The 13415-nt window shown below is 44.7% G+C and overlaps 1 protein-coding gene and 1 long non-coding RNA gene across 8 annotated transcripts in view; one reads left to right on the plus strand and one right to left on the minus strand.

Annotated features, from left to right (window-relative positions):
• Window positions 1-9674, plus strand: part of LOC101927556 (uncharacterized) — a 31541-nt gene extending 21867 nt beyond the window's left edge. For 3 of the 4 annotated variants that reach the window (NR_188514.1, NR_188516.1, NR_188513.1), the window contains one exon: window positions 8164-9674. This is a non-coding gene — a long non-coding RNA (uncharacterized LOC101927556). Of the gene's footprint in view, window positions 1-6316; window positions 6439-8163 lie in introns of all 4 variants that reach the window. The other variant, NR_188515.1, reaches the window with a different exon arrangement.
• Window positions 7157-13415, minus strand: part of CSNK2A2 (casein kinase 2 alpha 2) — a 40200-nt gene continuing 33941 nt past the window's right edge. For 3 of the 4 annotated variants that reach the window (NM_001896.4, XM_005255801.4, XM_017022945.2), the window contains 2 exons: window positions 13304-13397; window positions 7157-7603 (listed from right to left, as the gene is read on the minus strand). In NM_001896.4, coding sequence (NP_001887.1) covers window positions 13321-13397 — 77 coding nt within the window. In that variant the 3' untranslated portion in view covers window positions 7157-7603; window positions 13304-13320. Of the gene's footprint in view, window positions 13398-13415 lie in introns of all 4 variants that reach the window. The other variant, XM_047433626.1, reaches the window with a different exon arrangement.

Below are 13415 nucleotides of genomic sequence, written 5' to 3' on the forward strand. Positions count from 1 at the left end.
CGACTAATTTTTTTGTATTTGTATAGAGGCGGGGTTTCACCATATTGGCCAGGCTGGTCTCGAACTCCTGATCTCAAGTAATCCACCCGCCTCAGCCTCCCAAAGTGCTGGGATTACAGGCATGAGCCACCGTGCCCAGCTTCCCTCAGTTCTTTAAGGAGGAACTAAATGCCTGATATCACTTACAAAATTGTCTTGAACTTGATGAAGATTCTGCTGAGAAATAAATTCATATTTTTAATTTTTATCTTTAAATTCAATTTTTCACAAACTTTTTGAAGTTCCTTTGTACAAGAAAAACCTTGCTAGTAAACTGCTGCTGTCAGGCCAGGCATGATGGTTTACGCTTATAATCCCAGCACTTTGGGAGGCCAAGGCAGGAGGATTGCTTGAAGCCAGGAATTCAAGACGAGCCTGGGCAACATGGTTTCTTAAAAATAAAAAAATACAGGGCCGGGCGTGGTGGCTCATGCCTGTAATCCCAGCACTTTGGGAGACCAAGGCAGGTGGATCACCTGAGGTTGGGAGTTCAAGACCAGCCTCACCAACATGGAGAAACCCCGTCTGTACTAAAAATACAAAATTAGTTAAACTGGGCGTGGTGATGCATGCCTATAATCCCAGCTACTCGGGAGCCTGAGGCAGGAGAATGGCTTGAACCCGGGAGGCGAAGGTTGCAGTGAGCCGAGATCGCGCCACTGCACTCCAGCCTGGGCAACAAGAGCGAAACTCCATCTCAAAAAACAAAAAACAAAAACCCAAAAAATTAGCTGGGCGTGGTGGCACACGCCTGTAGTCCCAGCTACCTGGGAGGCTGAGGTTGAAAATCATCTGAGCCTGGGAGGTCGAGGCTGCAGTGCACCATGATTGCACCACTGCAGTCCAGCCTGGGTGACAAAGGCCCTGTATCCAAAAAAAAAAAAAAAAAATTGCTGCTGTCAATATTAGAATGGATTAGCCATCCAATTGAGTGACAAGAAAAAAAATTTACATGAAAATAATTTTTTTTTTTTTGAGACGGAGTCTTGTTCTGTCGCCCAGGCTAGAGTGCAGTGGCACAATCTCAGCTCACCGTAAGCTCCGCCTCCCGGGTTCATGCCATTCTCCTGCCTCAGCCTCCCAAGTAGCTGGGATTACAGGTGCCCGCCACCAAGCCCGGCTAATTTTTTGTATTTTTAGTAGAGGCGGGGTTTCACAGTGTTAGCCAGGATGGTCTCGATCTCTCGACCTCGTGATCCGCCCGCCTTGGCCTCCCAAAGTGCTGGGATTACAGGTGTGAGCCACTGCGCCTGGTCGAAAATAATTTTTAAAAGAATGGCATAGTCAGACAAAAATAATAATAAAAAGGGAGGAAAATCAAATGAGGCAGTAAAGTAAGAGCAACCTGGGCAGTGGGTGCAGAAGCTCAACTGATGCAAATCAGGCAGTTAAAAGTTGTGCAAAAGGTAAAATAATGCACCAGAAGCAAGATACAAGTTGTCTTAAGAATCCCATTACTGCCCAGGTGCCGTGACTCACACCTGTAATCCCAGCACTTTGGGAGGCTGAGGCTGGTGGATCACATGAGGCCAGGTGTTCAAAACCAGCCTGGGAAACATGGGGAAACCCTGTCTCTACCAAAAATACAAAAAATTAGCTGGGTGGGGTGGCACATGCCTGTGGCCTCAGCTACTCAGGAGGCTGAGGCAAGAGGATCACTTGAGCCTCGGAGCTGAACGCAGTAGTGAGCTGAGATTGCGCCACTGCATTCCAATCTGGGCGACAGAGTGAGACCCTGTCTCAAAAAAAAAAAAAAAAAAAAGAAAAGAAAAGAATAAAGAAAAAACCCATTACTCCAAGACGTTTAGCTTCCAGCTTGGGTAGAACTATTACAGAAGCAGTATCAAGTCCTGTGCCTGGCCCAGAATCTCTAACCATTAACATATTGCAGTCCTGAGCTGAGGCAGAGTATGTCACCTTGGTGGGGCGAGTGCTAAAACACACAGAGATTGTGGTAAGTAAATACAACCCATGATCTCAGTAATCTGGGTTACACTGAAGAATGTTTCCGATTATGGTGATACTGTTAAAATATTTGAAATATTTAAGAGTACCTAATGTCTTAGAGGATCAGACACTTGGAATTTAATTCAAAATGCTTAAAGGAATTTGAAATTAGATCTGTGGTTTTAATTTTAAAATATCTAAGAAAATTTAACAAGTTGAGGCCGGGCTCGGTGGCTCATGCCTGTAATCCCAGCACTTTGAGAGGCCAAGATGGGCGGATCACGAGGTCAGGAGATTGAGACCATTCTGGCCAACACGGTGAAACCCCGTCTCTACTAAAAATACAAAAAAATTAGCTGGGCGTGGTGGTGGGCACCTGTAGTCCCAGCTACTCCGGAGGCTGAGGCAGGATGGCGTGAACCCCGGGAGGTGGAACTTGCAGTGCGCTGAGATTGCGCCACTGCACTCCAGCCTGGGCAACAGAGCGAGACTACTCTCAAAAAAAAAAAAAAAAGAAAATTTTAACAAGTTGATAAATAATGAATGTTTACAAGACCTTAACGTATTAAATTTATGAATGTAGATTTAGGTTAGTATTTCAATGCTCAGGAAGATTTCATCAGATTTTAGGTCTTTCATATTAGTTATTGGAAGTGTGTGCAAATCAAACAGTTTAAACGTGTAATTGAGTTTAAAATGGCCAAGGAAACTAAATTAGGCGTGCAAGCAATTTTTTCATTTTAACTCATTGTTTCGAACTAATTGAACATTAAAGATTAAGCATTTCTATCTATATACAAAATCAACTTGTTTGTAGCTAGTTGTAGCTAGATTTATAAACTGATCTTAAAGACATGAGGCAAATTAAATGTACAGCTTTAATAACTATTGTTTAAAACACTAGTAACTGTAAGCATCCCTTTCAGTGCACAAAAGCCCTAGTCAGATGCCAATACCCAGTGGACAGTGCCTCTTCGTGTTAGTCCAAGCCCAAAAATTCAGAACATCTGCCCTGGAGACACGAGGGGCTTGCCACACACTGGAAGGCAGAGTTGACTCCCTGCATCTCTTTTCTGGTGGGGATGGGGATGCGGAGGTATAGCAGTGAGGTGAGGAGCTGTATCCCTTAGCTGGGAGCAAAGATGGAAGTGTGCCCTGAATGACTGGAGTGTCTAGCTGGCAAAGAACAACTGTATCCCAGCCCCAGCAGTGATAGCCCTCGAGCCTATCAGGAAGAGTCACGGTGTGCAGATGACGTTCCTGCTCATTGGAGAGTGGAGTCTAAATGGGAGTCTGTGAGGCCCTGCATGTTATTATTAAAAAAATGAATTTTAGGCTGGGCCCAGTGACTCATACCTGTAATCCCAACATTTTGGGAGGGTGAGGCAGGAAGATCGCTTGAGCCCAGGAGTTTGAGACTAGACTGCGAAACATAGCAAGCCCTTGTCTCTATTAAAAACTTTAAAAAAATTAGCCAGGCATGGTTGTGTGTGCTTGTGGTCCCAGCTACTCAGGAGTCTGAGGTGGGAGGATCATTTAAGCCCAGGAGGTTGAACTGCAGTGAGCTATGATTACACCACTGCACTCCAGCCTGGGCAACAGAGCAAGACCCTGTCCCAAAATGAACTTTTAAGTGTACATACAATAAAATGTACTCTTTTTTAGGTGTAAAGTTTTGACAAGGGCACCAAGTCATATAACCACCACCACATTTAGGACACAGAACAATTCCATCATCCCCCAAAATTACCTCATACTCATGTTTTGTAGTCATCCCTAACCCTCGGTAACCACAGATCTGTTCCACATGGATCTGGCTTCTTTGCTTAGCACAATGCATTTAAGATGCACATTATTTTAACAGCCTGTAGAATAATATTCTGAAAAAGACTGTTCATCCATTCTAACACCTGGCCCCTTACGGCCAGAGCTATTTTAAAACATGCTGGTCCTCAGCATGCATTTTTTTTTTTTTTTTTTAAAGCAGGGACTCACTCTGTCACCCAGGCTGGAGTGTGGTGGCGTGATCACAGCTCACTGCAACCTCAAACTCCTGGCCTTAAGCGATCCTCCCACCTCAGACTCCCAAAGTGCTGGGACTACAGGCATGAGCCACCGTGCCCTGCCGTTGTGCTTACTTATGAATTCTTTCCCATGGCATTTCAAATACATTAAAATGCAACCATTTTTCATATTTATGTTTTTTTCTTCTGTGATTTTTGAGAAGAATCCTTAGAATTTGCTTTTGAAATTATCTGACAATTCTGTGACTCACTAATTTATGAGAAAGATATTTTTAAAAGCAATTATTGAATTTAATGAGTGACGTTCACAAGGTTGTACATTAAGACGTTTAATTCCACTTATTAATATTTACTTTCAACTTTCTTAGGTTAGAGCCAACACTTTTTCTTTATTCAGGTCTCAAACATTTCTGTAGTCCTCTAGAAAGCTGAGAGGCTGCAGATACCGTGCCTGTGCCCCACGTGCTTGATAGAGGCCTGCAAGAATCCCATGGCCAGAGTCATCACAGTTCCAGCCTGCACCAGTGAGGGAAGGGCTGGGAGGCTGCTTTCTAGAATCATAAGAATACCCTTTCCAAAAACATCATATAGCATAATTATTTTTAACGATTTCATTCCACATACATATTGTCCAAAAATGTATGTGCACATTTGTTTATTGCAGCAATACTGGTAATACTGAAAAATGAGGAACAATCCAAAGTCTATCAATAACAGATTGATTCAACTGTGGTGTATCACGCAATGGTAAACCATGCAGCCACGAAAAGGGGTGAGGTAGATTTATACACGGTAATGCAGTAAGATTTTCACAACTAAGTGGAAATACGAGTTGCAGAATAAGAATGCATAGTCTGATTACCATTTATGTAAAAATGAAAATTATAATTTTAAAATAGTAAGTGCATAGGAAAAAACCGGGAAGATATACACAAAATTTAATGGTGATTATCTCTAAGAGAGGAAGAGGCTTTCCTGTGAGCATGGGGTGTGTGTGTGTGTGTGTGTGTGTGTGTGTGTGTGTGTGTGTGTGTGTGTGTGTGGCTGGGGGCTGGGGCTTTCGTTATTTACTTCTCTGTAAGCATTTGAATTTTTTTTTGTTTTTACCACAAACATATATTATTTTGGTAATCAGGAAAATGCAATCAATATTGTTTAGAACACAACCAGGACCACTGGGAGATGAGAGCTGATGTTCTGAATCTCCAAGCACACTGAGGAGGAGCTGAAGACAGTTTTTGTGGTAGCAGGTGTTAGGACGTCCCCTGCTTTCAAAAGTCAAAACAACCTACTCAAAAATCACCTCCTTTCTCTTCTTTCTACAACCACACACTTTCTCAACCCAACCATAATCACCCACAAAACTGAAAATTATTTGTGAAACATGATTTCCACACGGAGCAGTTAAAGAGAGCCTTGGTTGAGGGGGGAAATTGGAGGAGGGAGTTATGGTTCCAAGTTCTACATGACATCTAAAGATGCAAGCCAATCAAATGATTCTATTCGAATAAGACCCTCTATGTCTGGAGAAGACCTGAGATGGCAGTAAGTCACGCTAAGTAGCACAGATACATGCTGTGGAGATAAACATGCACGCACGAAGCATGTTCCTAGGTACTACAGGGTACAACAAAACAACAAGGTGTTTTGATGCAGTCCCAGAGATCTGGGAGACTCACAGAAATTTGCACAGCCTTGAGTCACAAAGAGCCCCGAGACAGCCAGCTTGAGAAAATTAGGCCAGTGATGGGGCTAGAAAGCACCAAGTCTATCTGCTCAGTGTCCCACAGGTGGTGGCCTATGGGTCCTCACCTGCTGGTGTCCAGGGGGGATGCACAGTCTCAAGCTCCCACACCTGAGCAACAGCTTAGATGCCACAGAAGCTGGTCCAAAGGACACCACGATGCTGTGGTGGCCCTGAAAGGGGCCTGCTTTCCTCCATAGTCACTTCAAAAACTGTGAACATCCACACTTGGGTTCCCACCATGGGCCAGAACTAGCTGCAGAGGACAGAGAATGTTGTGTGGACCAAGTTGCTTTTGTGGAGACCTAGCTGGCGTGCCATCCAGTGGCTTGGGTGTCTAGATCTGCCCATAGCTCCTGCTGTCCTACAGGCAGTGGGAGGACACAAACCAGCAGCCAGTACAAGGTCATGGCCATTGCTTTCACCTGCCCTGGCACCACTGTCTTGAGCTGAGGACCATGGGAGCCAGCGAAGTCTCATTTGTAGCATTGGGTTTCTCCCATTTAACAAATACAACCAGTGCTTCTGTTCTAGCTCCCTGAGTGTCTGCTTTTCCTTCCAGTTCATGGGTGCTTCAGAATGTGTGGTCAAAAGCAGCCCTCAGATCAGAGACCTCGACCCCTCTCCTGCCTCAGGACAGCAAACTCAACCAGCCTCCAAGACGGGGCCTTTCTTCAGTAGCAGGTGCTGAGGGGACAGGATTGAGATGGGATGAAATGTGGAGATGGGAGCAAAGGGGCAACCAAGAAAGGGCCAAGGCATCTTCCTGCATTCACAGGAGGTGACTCTCATTTGAAGGAGAGGCCAGGGAGGATGCTGGCCAGTTGGAATGTGTTCAAGGCAAAGCCCCACTTTCCTGGCTGAGTCTACTTCAGCCATCCATATTGTCCCCATTCCTAGGACTGGTTCACTGTGTACCTCTTAACACCACTCAGCTCTGGAAGAGAGTCCTTACAAACGGGCCCTCCTTGGCTGAGTGTGGTGGCTCACACCTCTATGTAGACCCAGCACTTTAGGGGGACTAGGAAAGAGGATCACTTGAGTCAGGAGTTTGAGACCAGCCTGGGCCACGTGGCAAGACCATTTCTACAAAAAAAAAACTTAAGAAAACTTGTCAGGTGTGGTGGCATGCACCTGTAATCCCAGCTACTCAGGAGGCTGAAGCAGGAGGATCACTTGAGGCCAGGAGGCCGAGGCTGTAGTGAGCTATGGTTGCGCCACTGCACTCCAGCCTCCATGACAGAGCAAGACTGTTTAAAAACAAAAATGAAAACTGGCCCACCTTGTCCCAGGGACCTCCCCTGCTTCGTCTGGTTAGAACCTGGCACGAATGCGCTTTTGTCTCATCCTGAGTCACAGGCCTCAGTTCACGGCCCTTTCCATACTGAAAACTCTCCATACGTTTCTTTTAAAACCTTTTATTCAATAATATATACTTTTAAAATAATAATATGTAACTGCCGCCATGCCACATACTGCGCCCGTCCCCCCACTGTGGAGTCTGTGGTCAGCTAGTTAGCGTGGTTTGCTGGAAAAACAGGCGGCCACGGGACGAGTCGAGGGGCTCGGGGAGCAACAGTAACCAACAACATTCTGCATACCCTTCACATTCCCCATGCTTTCTGGGTCGGGAAGAAGTCAACAGGAAGCCAAAGGCAAGTGAGCCTTTTACATTCGGAAGTGAGGTTTGATATACGGTGGTGGGCTGCCCTTCGCTTGGTCTAGTTCGTGCTCGCCAAACCTGCCACCGTTTTGTGTCTGCTCACGGAACGTGATCTCTCTATACGCGTTAAGACGTTTGATTTGGTTCTTGTTCTGCTTATGGAAAAGTGGGAGAACCGCAACAGACCTGGGGAAAGAGACGGGAGGAGGGAAAGACGTCATTAATCAACCTGAGCGGGCGAGGGGAGGCCTCCACGTGTAGGAGGGCCTGTGCTAGAATGCAAGCTCGGCCCTCCCATGCCACTTGGTGGAGAACCCTGTGAGAACTCGCTGAGTTCAGGTTTCCAACAGTACCCTCTGCCTTCCTCTTCTGATTATCATGACAGAGATGGTCTCTAGCACGGCCTTCTGTCACAGGACGGGTGCTCTGGGCACCACGTGTGTTGTGACCAGGTCTTCCACTCTACCCCATCCCTCGGGTCCAGGGTGCTGATGGAGAAGCCTCAGAGCCTCTTGACCATTCTGTGCCAGTCAAGCTACAAATTCAGCAGTCAGCTCTAGGTCCCCCTCAGACCTGACCTGATTATCTGAGGTGTCTTAGGACTAAGACGGGGTCTGTATTTACTCAGAAAAAGGGCTGAGTCCACTAATAAACAAAGAGCAGTAAGTGAGCTCAAATATTTTTAACTCTCCCCTGGAAACAGCTAGCTGCCTGGCATGGCCTGAAAACCTCATTTCTCCTTCCAGGTCCAGCATAGCAAGTGGGTGGTGAGATGCCGGCAGTGGAATTCTAGAAGCAGTGCCTCCCAGAACAGCACTACAGTACTGAGGAAGGACTATGCACCTGGGAAGCTGTCACACACACAAAATCATTTCATGAAAACTTTCTTTGGGTAAAGGAAGGGTTCCACTGCGTAGTATTTGATTTGAGAAGGGCTGCATGGTGCATGAGGTTAAGAAAGAAATGACTATATTTGCCTTTAAACACTTCAGCTGATTCCAAGCACCCAACTTCAGAGGCTCAGTGAGAAGAAAGCACACTAATTAAAGAAAGCACATTAATTAAAGATACCACCACCTGCCAAATAATAGCATGTGCTGCAAGGAATGGGGCTAGGGAGAGTGTTTCACAAATGCAGAGCACCAGGCCACAAGGTTAAAGTCATGCACTAAAACAGTCAATCCCAAGAGGCAGGTGTCTGAGTGGCGCGACTCAGAAGCAAGTACATAAAAACGGAACACTCCCAACAGGACACCACTCTAGCCCCACTTCTGCCAAAGGAAAGTTTTCACATCAAGGTGTAACACACATCTTTGCAATTCAAGGTTTATCCCTCCCCTCTCCCCCAAAGAGACAGGAAATACAAGTTAAGGTCCTCATAGCAATGGTTTGTCTCCCACTTGGGAAGGCTGGTTATTGTCAACATTTTTATTTAAGAAAACAGGATTTAACATGGCATTTTTCTTCCCTCTAAGGGCAGCAGCACATAAATCATACATCAGTCATCCAGTGATACAAAGAGGTGGCCAATTGTGTCTGAAGTAGTCACTTGTAAAGGATCACAACCCAGGCAGTGTTGCTTTTCTGCAAACAGAAGGAAACAGAAGGCTCCATGGTCCTTGAAGATTATCCAAGTTTTCCACTAGTTGTCAAGATTTCTGTCCCAACCTCTTAGTCACCATTTACAGCAAGAAGAGCCAGCAAGTGAAAAACTGTTAATTTATTGATTCAAAGTTGTTTTTTTTCTTTTTAAAAAACAATCCCCAATACATGCAGTTCAGGGTTAAGTATCACATTTGTAGCACATTGTTGAGTCTCAAAACAAAAATATGCATCACCTGTATAATCCCATCACATCTTTTTCCAGCCTCTACAATACCTAGTTGGGGGTGTTTTCATTTATACATCCACATAGCTCAGAAGCATGTTATTAACGGTTGATCTGGCCCGATGCTTCTCCGCCACCTCCCCTGCCCTGGTCTCCACCTCGGGGTTATTTTTTTCTAAAGGCAGGATGTTACTCAGTCTTAATTTATTAAGATCACTGACAAACTTTGGCTTCTTGTGTGCTCATGTGGTCCCTGCTTTTGCTTTCGGAAGGGTTTATATTGAAACGACTGTGACTCTGATCGGTTATTATCCCCTCATTTTTTGTAGGAAATAAGTTTGCTTGTTTCTGTGGGTGCTCACACAGTAACACAGGTTCCTAAAGTAACCATTTAATCTGAACTGGTATTAAAGGAAACTGTTAACCAGGCTCTCTTAGATCTATTTCAGTTCATATAAAAAAACTCTTCCAATTGTTGCTTGTGTCTCAAAGTAGTTCTGCTTCCATCCTTATCAACAGAGCACCTGGGAGAACCTAAGTCATTTCCCTGAGTAGGCACAGACCACGAGCCCCGCGGCACCCAGCTCTCTCTGGGACTAAGCGCCTGACTCGAGAGCACCACCTTTCAGTCCACTGGGACCAATCCAGTGGGCAGCGCCCTCCCCAGGGTACATTCCAGAACATAAACTTGGTACCCTCTAATTTATCCCCTCAAGAAGTTAATTTCCTCCTCAAGAGCTACCTTTAGATGGATTTTCTTATTGGTCCCTTTTCTTTTAACAGCCCTTCCCCTAGCCACTCTCTTCAAGTCCCCAAGGATTACGAGTTTGTCTGTCTCCTCTAATCTATCAGTCTGAGAGCACCTTCCTCTCTGCAAGGGAACACATTTGCTTTAAACCTTGTGAGTGCTGACATGTTACAGAATGTCTGGGAGGAGGCCTGGCTGAGTGACTGGTGTTTAAGTGCCTCAATGAACGACATCAGCGCTTCTCTAGTTGGTGAGAAGGCCCAGGAAAGCTTGGTCTGCGTCATACACTCAATAGCTTCTCCTACCCAGCCACCTACCCTGCCTACAGGGATAGGATGAAAGCAAGGCCAGCTGACAGCATCCAGGGGAGAGTGAACTGCCACCACACCAGAGGTGCAAATGTGACTCAGCACTTCATGAGTTCTACTCTCACCATGGGATTTCTCAGCAGAAGCAAACCTTGCAGTCAGGCTCACTTGTAGCCAACAAATGATATAGCCATCTGGATTTGGCATAGGAACCTTTTGTTCTCACCATACCAGGTCTATGTTCTTGAACATAGGCAGTACCTGAGATGATAGTATAACACTACCCTGTTCCCCACATTTTTTGCTTTTCTTTAGGAAATAATTAAGTCCTTATCATAGGCACTTTTAACCTGTTTAAGATAATGAAGCAAACAAATGAAAAGTACTGAGATGAGTTTAAGAAAGAATATGCTAACTGAAAAGGATACTGGGTGCGTACATTTACCATGGTTTAGTCTAAATATTAGACACACAGACACACACACAGACACACACACAGACACACACACAGACACACACACAGACACACACACACCCCTTTTGGAACTCTCCAAGACCATCTCCGAATCTAGGTAAATAGTCTTAAAATTTCGGGGGAGCTAGGTTTGGAAACAAAAATGGTTTTTGGAGACAGGAAAAGAGATGGTCTGAAACTGGACTCACTTCAGTTTGGAAAGGAATAGCCTAGGTGCCAAGACCAGACCCAGGAAGGGGTGAGCATTTCAAGCCCAGTTATGGTCTAAGTCTAAGGCATGAAGAGAGGTAAAAGTCTAGGTGCTGGAAAAGCAAGCTGTGTGCTTCAAAGGAAGAATGCCTGTGTCAAAGCTGCAGTTACAAAACCCCAGGACAAGGCAGGCAGGCGGTGTCTGCACCTACATCACCGTCAGAGAGACAGGCAGAGGTCAATCACCTGACTATTCTCCTCCAGGTACTTTTATTACCTTTGGGGGACCCAAGGGAAAGGAATGGAGTTACCGCTTCACCAAGACCCTCCAGTAGGCACCTCTTGCCTGGTCCAGACAGGCAACTTAAAAAAAAAAAGGGAGGGCTGAGGAGTGGGGTGGGGTGATAAAGGAGATTGGAGGGGGAGCAGGAAAGACACGCAGTGGCACATCTCCCTGATGATAACCAATGCTTCAGGATTGCCTATAAGGGCATATTAGAAGGCTTTTGATAATCTCAAACACTGAGTTTTGCTGCCTGACATATCAATACAGGTTTAGCCAAAGAGCTCACATCTTGCTTTTGATTTTCAGGTAGAACAAATGTTTACATTAGTATACAGAATGTGCAATGCAAGCAGGCAGCATTGGTATGAGAACCTTAACTGAATGCATTCCTTGGCTTTGGGATCTTATTTATTTTTTACTCTATAAACTCAACTCTATAATAAGAGAAGAGTTTCATTTGTATTTTAAGTTCCCACAGACCAAACGACAAAAATAGAATCTACATTTAGAGTAGGATCTGCTACCAATACCAATAAGATTTTATTGGAATATGGAATGTAAACAAATGTTTCAAACAAACATCTAACCTTATAAAAATGTATGGCATTATTAAATAGTTAATAAAGAAATCTTAAAGGGTGATGTGGTAGACACCTCTAGTTCTAGCCTAGGTGTGTGAAGTCCCCACAGCTGTGGCATGGCCCTGCAGCTGGGGTGAGGGGACTGCCTACAAACCATGTTGCTCCTGAGTCCCCAAAATGAAATCAGCCCTATTTTTGTTTAAACAAACTCTAGCTTTCTCTGCTAACATGAAGGTTTGCAAAATGGATCCAACACTTGCTCCGGGAGCACCATTTTCTTCCCCAAGCCCCTTGTATATTCCTCTGAGTTGCTTGAGTTTCAGATGACCCTGCCCACACAACTCTAGTACCTGCATGCAAGACAGACTTATCTTTGCCATCACATAAATGTATCACATATCAGAACTTACAAATGCATATTACCCTGATTACAGTGGGAAACTGTGTCTCATGGGGATAAAAGGAGGTGGGAGAGAGATATTTTTTTCCATAAGTCTTTCCTGAAAAAATTCTAATGGGATGTTTTCCTCCCTCGCCTTGCCTGAAGACTGACTTTCCAGCTTTAGTTATGGTTGTGAACAAAAAGGTCTCTGTTTCAGAGAGGTGCATTAAAATAGGCGCACACATAGGGATGTGCTGGGAAATGGTGAAGTTCTCCTTACAAGGCTGCCAAAAAAAAAAAAAAAAAAAAAAAAGAAAAAGCAACAAAAAAATAGCAACAAGATTTTATGGTTAGGGAAATCAACAAAGGTTATAGTGAGCTCCAAGTTATGCACTTAGCATGGAACTTTTGATGATAACCATGGACCAGTTCATGGCATTGCAAGGTTTCGTGATCCCTCCTGACATCAAAGAGGACTCTTGTGAAAGTGACTGCAGTTTGCTCCCAAATGAATCCACTTGGAGGAAAACTGCGGGGATGAGGTACATTTCCTGGAGAGCTCATGTCATTAAAAAATACATAAAACGTGGATTTGTAAAGAGCTTAAAAAAAAAATACTGTCACTGTTTTAATATCTCCTTTTTGTAAATGAGGCTGGTGTGTCAGTATAGACTGCTGACATTTCGCTAAGACTTGAGCCTGAATTTCACCAAAGGAAACCCAGACCACAATGGAATAGATAGGAAGTCAGACATTCAGAGCTTGTTGACTGAATGGGTTAATTCAACAGTGGTGCCCTGTTAAACAAAGGTAAATGTACAACAACTCCGAGTCTCTATCTCCCATGCATTCCAAAGGCAGAGCTCCTTCAGATCCTGAACTAGGTGCATCCCCATGCTGCCACAGTGACAGCTCCCTGGAGACTAGCACTGGGGAGTTTCTTTCTTGCTTTTTGACAGACTTTTAGGTCTTTACTCTTCTGTGCATTTAGAAGGAATGATAAGAATTTCTTTTTATCACACTGTAGTTTTCCTTCAAGGTTTGTGTTTGGTTGGTTGGTTTTATTGGCAAGCATCAATGCCGCATTACCCGTCGCTTTCCAGTCTTCATCGTGCTGCCGTGAGACCACTGGAAAGCACAGCATTGTCTGCACAAGGCTGGGACTGCTCCTTCACCACAGGGTCTGCAAGAAAGCAGGAGG

Source organism: Homo sapiens, chromosome 16, assembly GCF_000001405.40.
Source record: "Homo sapiens chromosome 16, GRCh38.p14 Primary Assembly".
Classification (NCBI taxonomy): domain Eukaryota; kingdom Metazoa; phylum Chordata; class Mammalia; order Primates; family Hominidae; genus Homo; species Homo sapiens.